General features: G+C 42.6%; 1 pseudogene across 1 annotated transcript in view, besides 2 other annotated features; it reads right to left on the bottom strand.

Moving 5' to 3' along the window:
• Window positions 1-1171: 1171 nt before the first annotated feature.
• PPP4R1L (protein phosphatase 4 regulatory subunit 1 like (pseudogene)) overlaps window positions 1172-21881 on the bottom strand; it is a 76663-nt pseudogene continuing 55953 nt past the window's right edge. The window contains exons 5-17 of the transcript NR_003505.3: window positions 20152-20259; window positions 19282-19347; window positions 16510-16668; window positions 15717-15901; window positions 14178-14647; window positions 11907-12100; window positions 8910-9005; window positions 8055-8240; window positions 7636-7797; window positions 6606-6706; window positions 4549-4669; window positions 3672-3769; window positions 1172-1317 (exon numbers count right to left, since the gene is read on the bottom strand). The product of NR_003505.3 is annotated as a protein phosphatase 4 regulatory subunit 1 like (pseudogene) (transcript). The remainder of the gene's footprint in view (window positions 1318-3671; window positions 3770-4548; window positions 4670-6605; window positions 6707-7635; window positions 7798-8054; window positions 8241-8909; window positions 9006-11906; window positions 12101-14177; window positions 14648-15716; window positions 15902-16509; window positions 16669-19281; window positions 19348-20151; window positions 20260-21881) is intronic.
• Window positions 5520-5569: a silencer, noted in NCBI's record as "silent region_13069". NCBI's record gives its function as "represses an Ori minimal core promoter by ATAC-STARR-seq in GM12878 lymphoblastoid cells {active_cell/tissue: GM12878}" and the evidence as "EXISTENCE:reporter gene assay evidence [ECO:0000049][PMID:35858748]".
• Window positions 9859-10359: an enhancer, noted in NCBI's record as "H3K27ac hESC enhancer chr20:56816520-56817020 (GRCh37/hg19 assembly coordinates)". NCBI's record gives its function as "activates a minimal SCP1, AML or CMV promoter by ChIP-STARR-seq in primed H9 embryonic stem cells {active_cell/tissue: H9 hESC(primed)}" and the evidence as "EXISTENCE:reporter gene assay evidence [ECO:0000049][PMID:30033119]".

Raw genomic sequence — 21881 nt, forward strand, 5'->3', positions numbered from 1 at the left:
CCCTTCGGGGTACAGATGGAAAAGGCGTCAATCACTGAGTGCACAGTATGAAAGGTTCCAAAATCTCCCCCAGCTGGTATAATACAATCAGTTCCCCTTCAAGTTATGGTAAGCCATATGTGCCAAGCATGAAATAATCAGATTGCAACTCATCACGGAAGTAGTTAATTCTGTTTTTCTAGTACAGCAGTGTCTATGATATTCCGCCGCTTTGGTTCTAGGGCTGCAAAAAAGGAAACATCTTGGTCCCGGTCTGACTGCAATGCTAAGATGGTCTCTTCAATGACTTCAAGATGAGGGTTACCAGCATTTCTAAAATACGCTAAAGAGAGAAACCATGAGTCTGAATCAGGTAAGCCATGAACAGTGTTCAAAACACACTCGGTTTTGTTTTTTGTTAGCCACATGTCAGGACAATAAATCAAAGAGTATTTCTAAAATGTTAAAGATGGACTCCCAACAGTTATGCATATTTTTAAAATTATAGTAACTATCTTTTTTCCCTGCAATACAAAAGAAATGGCAATGTGCAGAGCAGGAGCAGGTTGTAGGTAGGGTGGGGCAGGGGGTGAGGTGGCAAGAAATGTACATGTAGGGCAGAGTTCAAGATATTTTCCTATATGTGTGGTGTAGAAATAAACTATCCAAGAAACACAAAGCTTTTATTGAGTCCTGTCCAGGTGTAAATAATCCACTAGTTGGGTTACAAATCTTTTCTAACTGACCACAAAATAATACCATTAAAACATAATAGCAGTTAAGGCTTACGTTTGCTACCTTTCATAATCTTTCATGTCATAACTCAAAATTTATCAATTTCCCTCATTTCTGGAAAGCTATGTAATAATTTACATTTTAGCATATGTTTATTAAGTATGAAGACCAAATTACATTCATTTCCTTGGTCGTTTTATAAATAACATAAAATGATGCATCAAAGTTAACATAATCATTTACATAATAAACCTTACGCGTGCTGTCACACAACCTGCCTCAGTTTCCTAGAGGAAATCTAGTTGTGGCCTTTAACAACTGGTGGAGTCTACCCGAAATGTGTAAGTTCTGAAAAGTGCTCCACCTACCCTTTTCCAACAGCATCTGCCTTAGGGCCTTGGCTAGCAGAACCCTCACGTTGGGCACAGGATCTGATGCGAGGCTCAGGAGGCTGGGAAGCAGGTGCTCCATGAACTGGTCCACGGGGACACACTCCTTGCTCACCACTGCCTGCTCCAAGAAAGTCACAGCCAAAGAAATGATGTTTTCCGCAGTCTTCTAGAAACATACACTTCTTTAATCCCAAAGAAGTCATTTCAGAATCTGTAGGTTTGAGGCGTGTGTATGAATTTTTAAATCTCAAGCACTGATTTGGTTAGAAACACAGTTAATATTTTATTATAATTCACTACCAAGCAGTGGGTTCCAAGTAGGTTAAGATCTGGTGAGCTTAGGAGTCAGAAGTCTAGATTCAAAACCTAACTTGGTCTTAGTAGCTATGTGACTTCTGGTTAAGCGGCTTAGCCTTTCTGAGCCTCAGTTTCCTCATCTGTATGATGACAGGTCTGTTATGCAAAACATCTAGGACAATACCACCACACTGCATACAGCTGACCGGTAAGGAAGGGTCAAGAACCTCATTTCTGTCATTCACAGCGGCCGTGGCTGTCAAGTGACAGTCAAATCCCAAACCATAACCCAATGCCCAGACCTCTATAAACAATCCGTAAATGCCAGTCCTGTAGTCATACCCAGCAAGTGCATATAACTTCTCCAGTTACACGACTTTACATGTATTCTCTCACTTAATTCTCAGGACTAGCCCTGGAATTCAAAATCAGCCTAGTTTTACAGGTTAAAAAAAAACTCATTTCCAATGTGGTGGTGACACCCAAAGGTCTCATAACCACCAGTGGCAGCGGGGGGGTCTGCGAGCCCAAGTGTAGGTTCTAACTCCTGTGGCAGCAGGGTGGGGACTGTGAGCCGAAGTGTGGGTTCTAACTCCTGTGGCTCTTCTATGCCCGGGTAATTGGTGTCGTGGTGGATGGGTGCTGTGGCGGTGGCTGCTGGTGTTCCCTAGGTGCCAGGCGCCATGCTGGGTAGCTCAGCTTTATCAGCCCACGGAAGCCCATGACAACACTAGAAGGCAGGCACATATTCCTAGGCTCCTTTAAGCAGTGTACATGGCACCCAATGTGTAGCCTTTTACCCCTCACCCCCTCCCACCCTTCCCCCGCAGTCCCAAGAGTCCTTTTGTTTATTTCAGACTTTCTAAATCTCAGATAAAGAATTTAAAAATAAAAGCAAAAACTATTTCCTTTAAGCTTTCTCCACAAATTGATTTGGAACATTGACTCTTCCTTCACAAAAGTCTGTGCCGTCTGTGAGTTTGTGAGTCTGTGAGTTTGTTGTTCACTCTGCCATCCACTGCCCTTCTCAGAGTGGGCTGCCAAAGCACTCCTGTAATGTCCCACTGGTCCAAGAGGGGGCGCTGGTGAGTCCTCTGGTGCCCGTGGTCATCAGGGAGAGAAAGGGGGCTTTGCGGTCTGGGGTCAGGTACGGTCCCAACCACGGCTTCACTGTACTATCAACAAAGCTGGGTGGTGGGTTCACAGAGGTTCATTACAGCAATCCCTCTACCTTTGTATATGCTTGAAAACGTGTGTAATGAAAGTTAAAATGTTTAAAACAATACTTTAGCAGAAAAAAAAAAATCATCGGCTTACACTTCCTGTGTGATCTTGAACAAGTGACCTAACCTCTCTGGGCTTCAAATGTTTCACCTAAAAGAGCTGGTCTAAAGGTAAATGGGTATGCCATGCTCAATACACATTACCTCTTGGTTTTTTTTTTTCTTCCCTGAGATGGAGTCTCACTCTGTTGCCCAGGCTGAAGTGCAGTGATGCAATCTCAGCTCACTGCAACCTCCGCCTCCCGAGTTCAAGCGATTCTCCTGCCTCAGCCTCCCAAGTAGCTGGGATTAAAGGTGCCCGCCATGACACATTACTTTTTATTAGAGAATTAAATGTGTGATGTGATACCTGGCACACAAGAGGTATTCAAGAAATGGCAGCCATTATCACTGCCATTGCTCCTAGGCAAACATAAATCACACCCTCATTTCCAAGAGGCTGAGTAGAGAGGGCGATCTGAGGAGCTGGACAGGATGATACGAACTCTACACATTTACTCTAAAGAGGTTAAAGTCTCTGCCCTAACCCACTGCCCAATTCTTCATCCTGCCTTCCTTCCAAAGCCACTGGCTAAGGTGAGGTGTAGTGGTGGACACAGACCTGTATAGGAAAGGAGTGGACTGTGGGCCTGGCCCTTATCTTACTGGATGGAAATGTGGGAGAGCAGAGGCTTGTTCACTTTGTCTTTAGCATCTAGAATCTGTCTGGACCATCGTAGGTACTCAATCAATAGCTATGTGGCAAATGAGTATGCCAGTGGGGTAACCCTGGGCAAGTCCCTTCACCACACTGGGTTGGTCCCAATGTCCTGTGAGATAACAGGGCTAGGTGAACTAATTCCTCAGTTCCTGGCTAGTGCTCCAGGCTGAGATTCTCTGTCTGGTGAACTTGATTTCATCACGTGGCAGATGTTACCCAGGGTAGATCCCTCCCGGGGTCTTGCTAACCTGACAAATGAAAGCGAAAGCTTGCCTTCCAACCCACTTAGAACAGTGCCGGAACCTTATGATGAGCTCATTGATGAAATTTAACCCCAATGCACTTTCACTGTTGGAATAGAACTTCTGCAGAATTGCCACGACCTGTGAAAAACATCAAAAGAGCACATTTAAAATGCTGCCATCTATTTGAATTACGAATACTACTCTACACGGAAACTAGACATTTTTATGCATCCTTCCACCTTTAAAATGAATTTATAGGCGCAGGAGAAAGTAATTTTTGTCACGGTCATCATTAGAACACAGAGAAAAAAGATGTTTAAATATAGGCAATACACACACACACATAAAACCCTTCATAAAAATGAAACTTCAAAGGAGACTGACATTAGAAAAATACATTCTTAATCTTAAGGTTCCAAATTTTAGAGCATGTCCCCTTGCTTAATAACTAAATCATTACCTTTCAGAACATGTCATTTTTATAAAATTTTAATACCATCAGAGTATCTTAAAATCAATATTGTCAAATGTGATTTTTTTTCATCAGTATTCAGCTGGTGTAAAGCCCACATAAAAAAATAGGATCAGCTTTTCTACAGCAGAGTCTTTGCTCACTAAATATTTTTCTACAAAACCAAGCTGTAAATCAACCTGTATTTTAAAAACACTAACCTATGGCTTAAAGAGTTTCATATATAAAAGGATTACTCCACAATTGCCGTCACTGAAACATATAACAAAAAAAGCTATCCTACAAATTGATAAAACTATAATATAGTTCCTAATTTCAAATTTTAAAAGCTAGTTTCATAGGTTAGCTGACAAAGTAAGCCCAGAAAAATTAAAAGAGTTAAAATGGAAGATACATCAACATTCCTATTTGTAAAAATCACAGAGCAAATGCCCTGATTCCTTACTAGTTTGAAGGAGATCCACCGAACTTCAGAAACTTGATCTGCACACAACTTTAAGGCAATGTGCATTAGGTAATCATAAACATCATTGGGACTATAGAGTTCCAGAATCAGTATCAGCTGTCTGAAATTAAAAGGAAAACAACAACAACAAAAACAACAACAAAAAAAACATTATTTTTGGGCAAAAAAACAAAATTATTGATTTCTTTTTACTGTTATTTCATCTTACAGATAAAAATAGCCAGGCTGGGAAATGAACAGCAAAAGACCCAGCAAGATTTCGGTCTTCAGTAAAATGCCAACAGCAGAAAGCTGAGCAAAATGACCATGCAAAAAAAATGTGAACAAAATTTTAATTCTTCATCTCACACACATACAAATCAAACAAAAAGGAAATAAACTCTGTAAAATAGAGGCTGAGAAATTTATGAATACAGATTTAATATTTCAATTTTAGGTTATCAGTTGAAAAGCACATAAAACTTTAAAAATCAGATAACATAAAAATAGCCAGAATGTTGAAGTTCACAAAGGTCAACAGATCAAGCGAACACTCTGAGATTGCACGACCGCCCCGGCGTTTCTCCGACTGCAAACCGAACCGGATGCTCCTGCTCGCGGCTCTTGGCAGCACGAGGTGGTTTCACTGCAGCGAGGTCCGCTTGGAGAGAACTGGGAGCGCGTGCTCCTTACTCCGAAAGACAAAAGCATGCAGGAGACGGCTGGCTGCGAAAACCCACTACCAAAGCTTTCACTACTTTCTAAATGGGGATGGGGAGAAGGGCATGAAAATAAATGACATTGCTTTCACCCAGGCAACGAAAGGAAATGAAAAAGAGATGGGGAGGAAGTTAGAACCAGAAGCCCGGAGTGCTGGTGAATACTTTCATATCAAAAAGCACCGTTTTCAAAAACATGATACCAATATCATGGGCACCGGAGCACAGAATTCATATCAGTCGCTGTGGCTTCAATAAGCCGGGAGATGGGAGATAGGGCGCGTAGGGGGCTAGATAACGTGGTCGGGCACTGGGGCCGCGCAACCACCCGGGGAAGCCCCGCCGGGCACCGAGCGCGCCTACTTCCCGTGCGCCGCCGCTAGAGGTCGCACTGCTTTCATGGAAAACGTGGGCCTGTTTTTCTCGACTCAGAACAGGATGCTGGGAACATGGTAAAATGACTGAAACCTCAATCTCTCAAATTAAGCAGAATGATTAAAGACCACAGCAAAGAGAAAGGCTTTCGGTTTGCCCCTGGCATCAGCCAAATCATATCCTGAATAGCTGCAAAAGCCTGATGAATTTATTCAGGGAAGACAATTATTTGAGAGATTTCTAGTTGTGGATGAGAAAAATGAAAACTAAAGACACCGAAATGAAAACAAGGTAAAAACTAAAACCCAAACAACAACTGCCACAAACAAATTCCCTCCACACCGTGAAAGGCACATTATATACCTTAGGAAGGGGAGTTATTTAAACTGATGCTTCCACCCTTTCATCATCACTAAAGCCTGGAACATTCCTTTTGCCAGCTCAAGACAGAATTAAATAACTCCTTCAGGCACAAAATGATGTGCAGATAGGAGCCACCTTGGGGAACCTTTTTGTTTCATAATCATCTCATCTGGGTTAGACCCCTTCCTGTCTCCCACAGTAGCTAAAGGGCATTAAGCATGCTGTACCCTACGGAGAGGACCACACTCAGAATGTTCAGGAAAGCTCTGGTAAAAACTGCTCCGATTAATAGGAAAACACTGAAGAGTGGGTGATTCATCTTTTATTTGGTTCAAATAAATTGCCTTCTAGAACAGCAGAACACTCTAATTCGAAAGTGACTCAAGCCCTGTCTTCATCTGAAAATGAATGTCTCCCCGGAGACTGTGGTATTTGTAACTCAGGGTTTTTGGAATTCTGTTTATACCTTAATAAAAACATAATCTCTTTATCTAAAAGAACACTATTGCTGCTGCTTTAGAAATCAATTATATGGTAAGAAAATTAAGATTTATTCCATCTAGTTTGCTTTCTCATATCCCCAAATATGTTTTTACTTACTCTGCTAGTTCATATCGAAACCTCCAATTCCTGCTGTTATCAGTCACTACAAATTCTTGAAGCTGATAAAGATAGTCTCTCCTCTTGTCTTCATGAAGCAACTATTTTTTAAAAATGTATATATAAACAAACATGTATAATCCTTCAAAATGACCCCAAATGCCCCCTTTTATTCCACTTCCAATTATACATTTGTCACTGGCAAGAACTTTTGCATTTCCCCTACACCTCGTCATCTATCACGCAGCGTGGCTGCGAATGAACACTGCTGTACACTGACATCAAATGCATCCCTGAACACCTCCAACCTTTTCCCCTGGCTAGGACATGTGCTTATTATGTATTTCTGAATGCCCCTGAGGTCTTCCTGCTTTAGTAATTTCCTATCTAAAAACAAAAAAACAGACAAACAAAAACCCAGTCTGTGTGTGTTTGGAAGACAGTGTGCCACTGCCGCTTCCCAGGGAGCGAGGCTGCTCGGCACCAGGAGAGGAGAGACTCAGCTGGAGCAGCGCACACCAGAGTCCGTGAAGGGCAGCTCTTGGTCATGTGGATGAGAGTAATTAGTTTCTCTAGGTCATTTTTAAACTCTTATTTTTTATATTCATCGTTCGTTTGGGGGGGAGGGGGGGAAGCCAGAAGGGAAGCAGCAGCGACTTGCAGAAAAAGTGCTTCATGCAGAACAGAGGTTGGACTTCAGCCCAGGCTCTTCCCCTGGGTGACTTCTGGGCAAGTCAGGTCACTACCTGGGGGCCTTGATTTCTTCTTTTGCAAAGAGTGTGCTAGGCTTTGTGTCTACCATCTTCCACAGAATTAAAACTCTAATGGACAGGAAAATGAGGAGAAAAAAGTTTAAAATATTTACCCATCACTGAAAGAACATCCACTTTAAGATTATGGATGGTACATTTCAGCTAAAGAAAGCTAAAAACTGCATTGTTTTTTTCACTGACACCATAGACATCCAGGGCTTCACAAATTTGATTCGGAGAGAGGAGGCTTGTTTTTTGCTTTTAACCCTTCTTCCTACCTTTAGAAAATCATACAGGTGTCTAAGAACTCCTATTCGCACTTCATCCAGATCCTTTAAAAATCCATTGAAGATAGGCACCAGGTCAGCTGCTGTTAACTGATCCCCAAGAATCACAGCCAGCTCGTGAATGGAGAAGGCTAGGGCTCGCCGTACCTTCCACTAGGGGTGCATAGCAGACACACGAATCACGACAAGCAAGTGCAATTCAACCTCTTCCGTATCTTACATGGCATTTTTGGAGCAAAATGAATACTGCCAGGTGTTGGCCACTTAAAGCTTTATTTCATCAGAGACCAGTAAACATGCCAATTTGCATCCACATAAAATTCAGGCCAATAAGCCTTGCTGCAGCTTCCCTTTTCTCCCTAATGAATGACCCACCCTCTTTCTGCACGTGCCTCTGGAAAGGCTTTTACCTGTACATCAGAAGCCAGTGTTTCATATGTATCTTTCAGGCAGTGCCAATTTTGCCTGCCCAGGGTCAGTGCCACCCCTGGGAGGCTGTAGGCACAGTGTTTGGCTATGTCAGTATCGACAGTCTGGGCTCGAGCTGGGTCAGTCATGGACACATACTGATCTAGCAGCGGCTGAGGTATTACATCCTGGGAAATGAGAGAGAAAGGAGGCCATCGTGAATGCAGGAAAATACTCATGAAAAACAAGGAGTTTGGAGTTTAGAGGTGAAAACAATAAAGCAGAAATGTGAGAGGAACATGAGGCCTTCCTAAAGCCAAAGGGCTTCAGATTGCCAACTCTGTTTTCTCCAGAGAGTGGGTTTTCAATTTTGCTTGAAGTGAAAGCAACACCCAAAACTCATCTTCTTAAGATTGGCACAATATTTGATATCATAGAGGACAGTCTAGACAGCAATGTCTGCTTAGGCTGGTACATCCAGCTCTTGAGAATGGAGACTGCCTTCTCTTTTCTTACAACTGCCCCAAGAACCTAGCACCTGAGACCTTATACTCTGATAATCACGTCTATGTTTGACTGTGCTTGACTGAGATAGAACTCAATCAAATCAGTGTTAGATGTCTTATTTTTTTCTCATATTAGTTTGCTTTATTGAAAACACTATTATAGATTGTTCAGAAGCTTAAACACTACCTTACAATTAATTTTTTACAATTAGCAACACGAAATATGAATTAAAATATGTAATCAATATTGATAGAAGAAAAAATATTTGGTTCCAATTCTTAAAGTTAACTTTAAGAAAATACACAGTTTTGAGTTGCCTCCCCGCCCCCCCGCCCCCGAAAGAAACGAACCTGTAATTTAGATTTATTCTCTTCAAGTGGGGTGGGATCCTGCCTCTGGTCAGTCTCCAGATGGTCACTGGTTCCATTTCTGGGTCCACCTGGATCCTACAGAGTTGATTGGACATGTTACCAATTTGCTCCAAAGGAAGCAGCTGTCCTGTCACTTCCCCTTCAAAGAGTCCTTTTTCAATGCCAGAAATTACTTCTGTAAGCCAAGGCAAAAGCTTTCCTTGAAGTCAATGGTATCTTTCCAGATGTTAAAAATTACATTTGCACAGTTACATATGATACTGTATAAACCAGTTCTTTTAAGTGCAAAGGAAAATTGATTTCATACATTTTAATTTCAAGACTGCTGGAGGTCCTTACAGAAATACAAAGGCTAAAGTGAAAGCACTGAGGAGCAACCCTGTGAGTTTGCATCCACTATTCCTTATGCCCTAGGGACTCCCTGGTATGGCTAACCAACACCTTTAAGTAATATTCACATGTTTAAGGCACAGACTACTCCAGAAGGGTGAGGTTTGCAAGAAGTGGTAGAGCCAGCACCTCCAGCATTTCTTGGTAATCAGGGATTGCAGCAATGGTGGGTCCCTGAAAGAGGATGGGGGCTGGGGAACCCAATGAATCTGAGAGAAAAGATGTGGCTGATACAGGAGTATTTAATCAGAAAATTGTCCTAGATTTTCACAGGTACAAACACTCCTGATGTTCGCTGATAAACCTTTACATTAGGTAAACAATTAAAATGAACAAGAACATTCAATGGTGACATTTTGGTCTCTGATCGTTGATTAACATTAACTGAGATGGACCTGACCTTCTCCTTCAACCATAACATGGATTTCCAAGTTGCACTTGAAATGTCATACTGTCTACCAGCTTAATGGATTCTGACAAATCAGCTCAATGTATGATCCAGGAAAGTCGATTAACACACCGATAGATGCTTCGTTTGCTCTGAGGCGCGCCACCAGAACCTTCAATTCCCAAGGTTTTCACTGATATGTACTATTTATTTTAACAGAGGACATGATAAAACAGAAATATTTTGGTATAAAAACCTAAGACCTCAATTTCTTGTGGTCTTATTATTAATAAATTCACATATAGTAACAAGATGTGTCATTAGAATCACTATTATCCCTTTAGAAATTAATTTTATTCCAAAGTCTTCAGTGCAAGCATATGTGCAGCACTTAATCCAGGAGCCAAATCAAGGCTTAAGCAAATCACCACAAGTCATGGCACCTCCAGAAGGTATTGTGAGTTCCCCAAACCCCAGTGGGACACCATGCTGGCTGGCTACCTGTGCACCCACCACTCAGCATCCAGCAGCCTTCTTTCTAGCAGGATCCCGACTCAGGGGGCTCCCATGTTTCTGCCCAGTTCACCATGCTCAACCCATGAATGCACACCGTGACTGTGGCCAGGAAGAGGGAGGCAGAAGGAGAGGGCAGGGAGGTGGTTTCCCGCCTGGGGTGTCCTTGTTCTTCAAAAGAGACAAGTGGGAAGACACAGGCCCCGCCTTCCACTGGGCATTTCATGCTGACAAAAGCCACCACAGCAGAGGGGAAGGGTGGACAGATCAGCACCAAAGGTATGGAGTCTAGCAGCCCAGAAGCTGCCCAACCACAGCACTTCTTCCTCTTGTCTTGTGCAAGAGAACATTTTCCTCATGGTTCTTGGAGTTTTTTATTTCCTCTCCCTTCTTTTGCGACAGGAAGCATCCTAATTAATCCCACTAGGATCTTGGAGTCAAGCCGCAAATTCAAGGGCTCTGCCCTCCCACACCATAAAACAGGCTCCATTACACAAACCCTTTTAAAGCTGCAACTCAAAAGCCCCAGCCTGGAGGAATCTGTTCTTTTTTTTTTTTTTCACCTCTATGATAAAGAAGTCCAAATACTATCACATCCCCACCAAGGTAAATGTGGTCACACCCTTCTACTTAACACTTGCAACTTTTGCACTCTAGGTAACAAGGTTGACAATAATGAGCTTTCTTGCTAATTTTTTTAGCAACAAACCAGCAGAAGAGGATATCACCCCATTTCTTATTAATCACAGATAACCAACTCCTACACATTTTATGTTTGAGTTCTAAAATGTTTTATTTTGCTTTATTAGAGCAGGCCTAAGGGGTAAGGGAGGTGTTAATCACTGAAATCAAGTTCTAAACTGTATGAATAGAGAAACAACTGGTATTTAGGCCCTGGAGACCATGAGATTGAAGAGATTATCCATCATGGCACATGATAATGACACGGTGCTATCCCAATGACTGTATGACCACAGACTCCTCCCTCATTTTAATCCTCCATTCTGCCCCCCTACCTGTGGAAGACCCCAACTTAAAGTGGTCCAAGTGGAAGCTTAGTAGAAACTAGGACAGCTCAAGAACCTCCAGCTACAAGGGGTTGACCCAAGCTCCTGGAGAAACCTGAAGAAATAAATCATGGGCCCCTCTTCACTCCAGCTTTGGGGCCGTGGTCTCACAAGGGGCTGGTTCCACCCACAGGAGGAAGGGGGTCACTGGTGCTTTTTCAAAAGAAAGAGAAACAGCATGCCAGGACCAGCACTGGAGCATCCACGTATGCCAGAGCGCCTACCAAATGGGCGGCTGGTGTGACAGCTGCTCTGGGAGGCCTCGTCCACTTGAAATTCCAGGAACTGCCTGAATTCACCCTCCACTATTATTAAAAGATGTTGATGTCTGTTAGCAGTGACACAGAGCATTTACATGGTTAACCTCCCCAAAGAAGAAGTTCTTGTCATCTCTGGAGAAGAGGGAAGGTACTTTCTGGTGCCCACCCGTCTTCGTGGGAGCGCGTCGGCACTATCAATCACCTGATTGATTGGTTGTCTAGTTATCCAAAACATGACCTTAAGAATAAAATGAAATTTGCCATTTATCATCTCTGCTGGGATATATTAATAAGAGAAAATGCTGCTTTGTGATTTCTGTCACATCCTCGGTGGCTGAGGGATACGGCAAATACTTACTGGGCTTTGTAATATCCTGGCCACAAAGAGCTCATCCTGAGATGATGAGGCCGCCAGAGCGATCTGATTGTCAGAGGCAGAGCTGGGATGTGAAATGGACACTTCCTTTAGGCCTGCTGTTGGCTTGCTCTCAGCTTCATTCACGCAGTCGAGCTGTGCAGCTCTCAGTGCAGCGGATAATACCTGAACTTGAGCTGGAGGAAGAGAAGTTTCAAGAAATTTAACAACTTTATTTGGTTTGTGGGGGTTTACTTCAGAGAAGTCTTCAAAACAACATAGTCTGCACTAAGCTACATGGTGTGGGTGTACTACACTGACACGTATCTGTTCTGAAGTGACAATGCTCTGGAGTCTCAAGCTCTCGGCAAGGTGGTGATATTTCCGGCCACTAACAATTAACTACTTCAACTAAATGCCAGCCATGCACAGAACATCAAACCTGAACTTGAAAAGTCTCAATTCGGAAAAACCCAAGTGACTCCACCATGTTTCACAGAAAGACAGCATGGTATCACTGAACAAGGATGACTGGGAGGTCCAACAACTCAGTGAAGGGTATCCTGCTCCCCCATTTATAAAGCAGGATGGCTACCTGCTCACATACACATACATACATGTGCACACACACACCCATGCATGAATACATCCATTTACACACAGATGAGTAATGCTCTCACTCACCAAGCCCCAAAGGCTGCCCATTCTTTCTGTCCAGAGTATGACAGTTTGAGACTATCTAAACAGTAAAGATAACATATTTCACATACCTTTCTGTAAAAATAAACGAATGTTTTAGTATCCTCAACCTCCCAAAAGACACACACACACACACACACACACACACACATATTACTTCCTGCATCCTGCTTCTATTAATTAAATTTCGTGGACTCCAACATTCATCAAAACACTGAGAGCTTGTAGCTGGCTCTGCGCTGTGCCCAGGACAGGTCCCACCGCTCCAGTGCTACACACCAGGCCCTTCCCAATGGCCTGAGTGACATCTCCTGCCTGCCGTGGCCAGTTCACAAATAAAATGCATCACTTATTTCTAGATCTTCGGGGATCATAGATCCCTTTGAGCTCTGAAGAAAGCTATGGGCCTTGTCTTACAAAGAAATTAAGTATGCACAAACATGCAAGATTTTACAAATAATGATTTCAGGGAACTGAAAGAACCTTCTGAAACTCATCCCCTGACTTCTCTGAATGGTGGGTTCTCAGCCAATCTCTAAAGCCCAGGCCAAATGTCACCTGCTATGTAAGGTCTCTCCCAGACATTTCCTCTACACATCGCATCCCCTCCGTTCCGAGCCCTCGCCATGCCCCACAGGGTGGCTGCCTGCACAATCCCCTTAACCATATCACAAGGGCCTCAGGGGCCACAGTCATCACTGCCCAGCCCCCAGTCCAGGTCTTACACTGGGGATTAAGGCAGCTCAGTAATGTGTTTTCCAAAAACAGACCTTTGTCTCTAGCTATTAGAAGTGATATGTTACGTGTGCCCATTCCTTCAGCAAACATTGATTTAATTTCCTTCATAAATTTAAGGATAAAGAATAATCACAGGGCTAACTGAATTTTCATAGTTCCCTTCCCGAAAGCTTCACAAATCTCTGCCCAGCAACAGCAGCAAGTGATGTTTTTTTCCAATTTCTCCAATGCAAGGAAGAATACAAATATAGCACTGTGCAGAGAAGGAAGATCATGATAATGGGATATGGATTGCAAGGTCCAGATCCCTGATCAGATGCTCAGTGGGAGCACGAGTCATAAAATGAAAAATACCCCAAAGCAGTAGTTGTGCTTTTCCTTCCTGTACAAAGACAAGAACCTTAAAGTTTAGCTAAGGGCTGCGTTAATAGGCTCCAAAAGGAGGCCACCCTTGGCTGTTCGTAACTAGAAAGGGCATTCTATGTGGGAGATGATGTAAGAGTGTGTCTAAGGAGCTAATAAAATTTCCCCTGCCACAGACATGCCCACAAACTATCCACTTTCCTATCAGAACTGACTTCAGACTCTGTGCACGTCCATCTGCAAAATCAGAAAGCAAAATCATTGCATAGGTACCTGCACAGAGGTATTTCTGACTTTTCGAGCTGTACTGAGACTGAACAAGTCTCTCCTCTCAATGGGTATACAGTGTAAATGAATACAGGTCCACACGCACATGCGTCAGTACACATGCCTGGGGAAGAAGGAAGTGGCGAAATGCAACACACGACACAGAAACATCCCATCTTCTCTTTAATGACAATGAACAACATTTACCTTGAACATCTGGATCATTCATCAGATGCTCCTGCAAGCTACCAAGGACTTTCTGAATCTCACTCCGGGCCACACAGCTGTTGTGCACAACCCCAGGTCTGCTGCAGTCGTCCTCCTGAGGCCCAGCCTCACTCAGAAGCAGCTCTAAGTCCTTGCTTATGTCAGGGAGAGGAGTTCACCAATAAAGAAAATGACTGAACACATCCTCAGTGTTCCCTGGGCAGGCCCAGGAATCTGATCCAGGGTAGCTGCTGATGGGGAGGTCATTCATGTCAGAAAGCTTTGAGCAGGCGCTGGTCTCTGGGGAAACCCTGGTCCACTCAGCTCCAGCCGACACACAGCTTTCCACAGGGCTTTCCGCTGGGCCGTCAGAGGAGCTACTGCTGTGTGGGCAATCACTGGTTTTCGCTGAGGTCCCTTCCACAGGTAGCTCTGGCTCGCTCCGCACAGGCTTTGCTGAACGAGTTAAACTGAGGGAAGCAAACTTTTAATACTGTGTAACAGACTGAAAGCCACAGGGAAAAACATGAGAACCACATCCTCACCCAGTCCTCTACTTCCTAGCTGACCACTGGCCCCTCTTTGTGTCTCCTGGTGTCAGCTGACTAAAATCTCACGAGAGGATAAGAGGTTTGTCAACCCCCACTGCCCCGCCGGGAGTATGATGGGCACTGAAAACACCACTTGAAAGTTCAGCCGTTCTCTCCACTATACTCCAGGGCTGAGCCGGCCTGGACTTCCGCTGGAGCACCTTCGGTACATTTCATCCATTTCCTGCTCATGAGTACCTCCACCAGAGGGCAGGCATTAGAAAACAAAAGGCGCTGAAACTGGTAAGAGGTGGCTATTTGTTAACCACTTTGAGGTCTTGAGGAAGACACTGCCCATGGGCCTGCCATACAGCAGGAGCTCAATGAACTCTGATGGAAGTGGGATGGAGGGAGGATGGGCCAACCTCGGAAGGATTTGTATTCTGTGAGGCATCAGTTACCCACTCTCACATGCCTGCACGCTAGCGACAATGGAGAGACATTTACAAACGACCTCAAATAGGATGGCTGGTGTATACGCATCAGCCTCAGAGGAAAGACATGACAAAGCCAAGATCCAGCGCCATATTAGCAAACACTGGAGGGTCTACCGCTGTTGGTCAGGAGTGTCGCCTTTATGTACATGTAACCCAACCTCCAAAAAAGTACATTTGGGAGACTTCACATTTTTCCCTAAGTAAATTACCCAGAGAACTTCATTCATCAAAAAGTAAGAGAAAATGTTCTTTATAGGTTATTTAATCACTAATCTCAATGAATATTTTATCTAAATTTAGGAGACATAGTAGCTTCATTATTTATAACCCAGTAGTCATGTTTCAAAATCATTATTGCAATTACTTTTTGCTTCTTTACATAATTAAAGCTCTAATATTCCATCTTGCCCAGAAGGTCACTACTAAAACTCGAGACAAGATAATTGCTGAAATTTTAGGTGGGTGCTTAAGGTACATCGAGGGTCCTGGTGGTGACCCTAGCCAGAGCATACCTGGCAGGGGAAGTGTTACCACCACTGCTGGGAGCAGGGGAGCCAGAGGCAAAACCAGAGTCCAAATCCTGGGTGAGTGGCCAGATGCTCAGGGCGCCATCCTCTCGAAGATAAAGGCCAGCCCTGGAGGGGTTTGCAAAGGTGGAAGTGAAGGGGCCGAGGGACTGGAAGGCAGCCTGGTGCACCTGGAACCAGAAAGAACAGTGCAGTGAATGAACGCAGCATCGGCCAGCGGCGGTGGCCAGGACTGAGCCCAGGCTGAAACAGATAGTTGGACACCACACAAGCTACTCTCCACCACATTACATCTATGGAGATTTATTGCTTTCTAAATCATTCCCTAAATTCCAAATACTATTATTCAACAGAAAGTAAGGAAAAATTTAGCCCCATTATACTGTTTTCATTCTTCCAGAATATTAATTTTATATGAATAATACATTTTATATCAAGTATTTGAACAGGCCTTATTAATCATTACAGACATGTTTATGATAGCAACAGAAAAGGTAACAGTTCAGTTACATAGTTTTTTCTTTCTCAATTATGATTTTCATGATATTCGTTCACTATAAATGGTACGGTGTACCTCACCTTCTTAACTCACCCCAAGCTTTTGAGATTTTAGTTTCCCTGAGACCTCACAAGGTCTAAATGTGATTATGGCAATCAGTAACTGAAGGGACAAAATACAAAGTTACAAGCCCAGAAGTGAATCCCAGCCTGGAAGCCAGACGTAGCTGTTCAGTTGGTCAACAGAGGCTGGTGTCTGGACAGGGCTGCTGGCACTCACCCATCGGCAGGGGTCGCTGACAAGTCTGATGAAGAGCGGGAAGAGCTGGGTTCTGCGGACCCCAGGGGAGGAGCTGTGCGACACAGCCGTGAAGCATTCTGCACAGGCTTTCCGCATGCCCCAAACAGCATCAGAGCAGAGCTCAAAGAACTTTGGGATCTGCCAAAACAAACAAAAGAGTGCTACTCCAATCGGAGACTCTGAGGAAGAGCAGAACCTGTTTTTTTTATTTATTTATTTATTTATTTATTTATTTATTTATTTATTTATTTATTTTTGTGAGACAGAGTCTCACTCTGTTGCCCAGGCTGGAGTGCAGTGGCGCGATCTCGGCTCACTGAAACCTCCGCCTCCCAGGTTCAAGCGATTCCTGTGCCTTAGCCTCCCGAGTAGCTGGGATTACAGGCATGTGCCACCACATCCGGCTAATTTTTTTGTACGTTTAGTAGAGATGGAGTTTCTCCACATTGGCCAGGCTAGTCTCAAACTTCTGGCCTCAAGTGACCAGCCCACCTTGGCCTCCCAAAGTGCTGGAACCTATTTTAATGAAGCAGTGAAGGCATATGCAGAAATTAATGACAAGGAAAAGGAAAATACATACTGGTCTAAAAGGAATCATTTGAAACAAACAGATATTATGAGAAGTGGAAGAAATAAACATTTCTTTTACCTCCTAATTTTAGTAAATGACTTGGTTACCTTTAACAGATAATAGAGAAAATCCCAAAAAGGGCAGAATGACCGATATTTGTTAGGTAAATTGTAGAGAAGATTGTGAAAGACTCTGAAACAGTAGATGTCCCAACTAACTCACCCACCCAGGTATCACTGTCTTTGCCTAGCTATTTTACAACTCTGAAGTGATAGAAGGTAGGTTGCTAAAACCTGATAGTAATGCAAATAATTCCTGCCAACAGAAATGCAAATTGTGTCCAGTGAAATGTAATCAATTATCACCCTGGATATTGACCAGTTTTGAATTCATTTGTAAGTTCACTTCGATATTCCTTGCTCTGACTATAAATGAGTACTTTGAGTTCTCCATTAAACTGGCTGTAATATCTTACTGGTTTTCCTCACTAATAAATGAGTTAAATAAAATCTTTGAAATACGTTCATTTCATATCTCTATAAAGGTCATGATTACATCCCCTTTTAAAGTGTATCCTTTAAAAGGGCTTTGTTTTTAATATCCTAATGTAAAATAGCCTAAAATGCTTCGCAAATGGGAATATGATATAATCATGCCAATATCTACCTACAAATGATTAGCATGTTACTCACTGCCATTCTTCATTCAGATATATTAAGTAGAAGATAACATTCACTGTAGATGGGCGTGGTGACTCACGCCTGTAATCCCAGCACTCTGGGAGGCCGAGGCGGGTGGATCATGAGGTCAGGAGTTTGAGACCAGCCTGGCCAACATGGTGAAACCCTGTCTCTACTAAAAATACAAAAATTAGCCAGGCACGGTGGTGCATGCCTGTAATCCCAGCTACTCAGGAGACTAAGGCAGGATCCAGCCTTAGCTTGAATCCAGGAGGCAGAGGTTGCAGTGAGCCGAGATCACACCACTGCACTCTAGCCTGGGTGACAGAGCAAGACTCTGTCTCACAAAAAAAAAAAAAAAAAAAAAAAAAAAAAAAAAAAAAAAAAAAAAAAAAAAAATTCACTATATATTCAAAGCAACAGCCCATTAAAAATTATTCTTGGGTTAGAACTGTGCTGACATGGCTTATACTTTAAACAAAATAAAATGAGCTTCTGAACTTAAATTTAAAAATCAATTTAAAGATTAAACTTTTTGAGGTCAAAATCTCACCCATACAAGGAGTATATTCTGTCAAATAAAACTGACAAATGCTTATGGAGCAAGGTTCTCTAGGGGCCGGGCACTGACGGGGTAGACACTGGGGAAACAAGGATGAACACAACACGGTCCCTGCCCTCAAGAAGCTCCTCAGCTCCTCTGAACAAATGCTACCAGGAAGCTGAGAAGGGAGAAGCTGATTCTCTCTGGCACTGCAGGTAGGTCAGCCTAGACAAGGAAAGAACTTCACAGAGGCAATTCAAGCTGGGTTGGAAGTGTGAGGAGGGTCCCACCAGGCAGGGAAGATGCTCTTAGTGAGCACAGGCCCAGAGGTACGAAAGAGCAAGAAGTCTCAAGGATGCTGAAGTCACCTGGCTGCTTAGGGAAGTGGATCTCTACTCTGCTATGCATCAGAATCATGTGGGACTTTATCAAAAATGCAGATGCCTGGGCCCCCCCAGGCTTCAGATATATGGCCAGAGGTGAGACCCACCGAGGCCAGGGTAGTGTTCAGAACTGAGAAAGGGGACTGGAGGTGAGGCAGAAAAGGCATCTACGAAGGGACCTGGAAGGCCCAGAAGGCTCTAGATTTTAACCTGTAAACCAAGAAAAAAATCCCAATGGTTTTGAGGCCCAGGAGTGAGGTGGTAGAGTGGTGTTCTAGAAAGAGCAGCAGAGAGAGAAGAGAGAGAGCAACTTGGACAGTGAGAAGAAGGCAGGGAAAAGTGACTTGTAAGGAGGAGACAGCCAAGCCCACCGGAAAAAAGATGGGGGTTGCTTCCAGCCCATTCCACAGACCAGCTACCTAATGCTTAGGAAAATGTTAGCTTCAGAAGTTATGAAATTTGAAATTAACAAATGCAAAATTGAGCTGCCATTCATAAATACAAAACTTAAGTGATTTTGAAAGTGCATTAAGAAGCAAATCAACAATTACAATTGGCCAAAATGTCACATACCAAAAATTTCTCAGTGGCTTCTTGTCCAACAGCATGACAAATATCACCAAAATTTGCAGCACAAACCTTAAAAAGGCAAAAGGCATATCCATTATTCTTATCTTTCTTTTTGTCTTAACAAATTGTAAAAACTAACAAGCAGGAACTTTGAGAGCAATTACCCCGCTAGTCAGGCAGCTAACGAGCCTTTCCCAAGCCCATCGCCCATACAGCACAACGCCAGATGCCTCCATTGCATCAAAAACAGAAGATTTACAATAAGGTGCCAAATTCTAAGATTTTCTGGCTCCTAATTGATCTTGATACAGAATGCATGTTAGCGATAAGGCAAAAGAGGCCCCTTAACATTCCCTGCATGGTAAAGGAGACCTGCTGTTCTGCCTGTGTATCATGAACAGAGACCAGAGGGGTGATGGCCAGTTACACAGCAAGGTGCAAGGTGAGGCTGTTTAGGGAAGGATGGTAACGAACTTCAAAAGGAAGAATTTGACAACCAAGTGACAAGTGACTAAAAGGGAATTTGGGGTTGGAAGGTATAGCAAAGATAAGAAGGTTCTGGATCAAATCACCACAGATAATCAAAGACCTTGCAAGCCTGGGCATCTAACCATAAACCAGCAAGGTCCCCTAACTCTCACCCTGTGCCTGAGGGCAACAGGTCTAGTCATACAGACTCTTTATCTCCAGGTCTCTACGCATTTCTTAACTGCAGTAAAAACTGGCAACGCTGTTCAGATATTTTCCTTACATAGTTCACACTGGACACATTTTTCCCCCAGACTATGTCTACTGAAGAAGTCCAAAACCTTTAGAAAAATCAATTTTGAACTTTTTTTAACTTTAAGAGTTTTAGAATTCTTACATTCCTACCTTCCGAACTTGAAAGAGCTTCCTGTCACCACACAGTTCACAGAATCGGGGGAGTAGCAGGCGTTCAACGGTACTCTTACTCAGCATTGAAGCCATTTTGCAGATTATCTATAAATTTTTTTAAAAAATCGAATCATTTAAAATGTCAAAGCATGTAAGTCACATGTAGCACTAAAGATATATTCCAAAAGCCAATATTCAAAATATTCCCAACATACCTAAGAAGGAAAAATAAAAAACACCTTCTTTTGAGTTTTGTCAAGTTATAAGATCAACAGAAGGCCCAACATTTCTCCAGTTTGACTCAGGTAACTGTTTGTCAGAAGCTCAAGAGTTACAATCTGCCAGGTCCCCACCTTGTGCCCAATACACAAACAAACAAAAATGTATGTGCATTGGCTCATTTTACCTTCCCAAGAATCCTATGACATGGGCATTATTTATCCTCATGTTTCCGGATGGGGAAATGCTGCAAGAGGTTAAATAGAATGACTAAACACAAACAGTGGGGAGGTGAGTCATCCAGTGACAGCAAGACATGGTAAGCACTGGAAGATGATCACATTCTGGAGAAACTAAAGACTAGACCCTTACAAGAAAAAAAAAAAAAAAAAAAAAAAGATTAAATTTTGCATTTATGCTGCTTTTTGCCTGAGGGTACTTCCCGTTCTACATGGCTATACAGGGTAGCTAGACCTCAAGCAAAAGCAACAGGTAGAAGTCCTAGCCAGAGCAATCAGACAAGAGAAAGAAAACAAGGCATCCCAACCAGAAAAAAGGAACTATCTGTGTTTGCTGATGATATGATCTCATACCTAGAAAACCCTAAAGACTCCTCCAAAAGACTCCTAGATTTGATAAATGAATTCAGTAAAGTCTTGGGTTATAAAACCAATGTATACAAATTAGTAGCACTGCTTTATACGAACAATGAGCAAGATGAGAATCAAATCAAGAACTCAATAGCTACAAAAAATAAAAATAAAATACTTAACCAAGGAGGTAAAAGATCTCTACAAACAGAACTACAAAACCCTGCCCAAAGAAATCACAGATGACACAAACAAATGTAAATACATCCCATGTTCATGGATTAGAAGAATCAATATCATAAAAATGACCACATTGCCCAAAGTAATCTACAGATTTAATGCAATTCTTATCAAAATATCAATTCATTATTCACAGAATTAGGAAAAAAAATCCTAAAATTCATATAGAATTAAAAAAGTCAGAATAGCCACAGCAACACCAAGCTAAAAGAACAAATCTGGAGGCATCACATTACCCAACTTCAAATTATAGTACAAGGCTATAGTAACCAAAACACCACGGTAATAGTATAAAAGCAAACCACTGCAACAGAATAGAGAACCCAGAAATAAAGCCAAATACTTACAACCAACTGATCTTTCACAATGCATACAAAACATACACTGGAGAAAGGATATTCTATTCAATAAATGGTGCTGGGAAAACTGGCTAGCTACATGGAGAAGAACGAAACTGGATCCTTATCTCTCCCTTTATACAAAAATCTACTCAAGATTTTAAATCTAAGACCTGAAACCATAAACATTATAGAAGAAAATCTAGGAAAAACTCTTTCTGGACACTGGTGTAGGCAAAGAATTTATGACTAAGACCCCAAAAGCAAATTTAACAAAAACCAATATAAATAAATGCGATCTAATTAAACTAAAAAGCTTCTGCACAGCAAAAGAAATAGT

The sequence above is a fragment of the Homo sapiens genome, chromosome 20 (genome assembly GCF_000001405.40).
Source record: "Homo sapiens chromosome 20, GRCh38.p14 Primary Assembly".
NCBI lineage: Eukaryota > Metazoa > Chordata > Mammalia > Primates > Hominidae > Homo > Homo sapiens.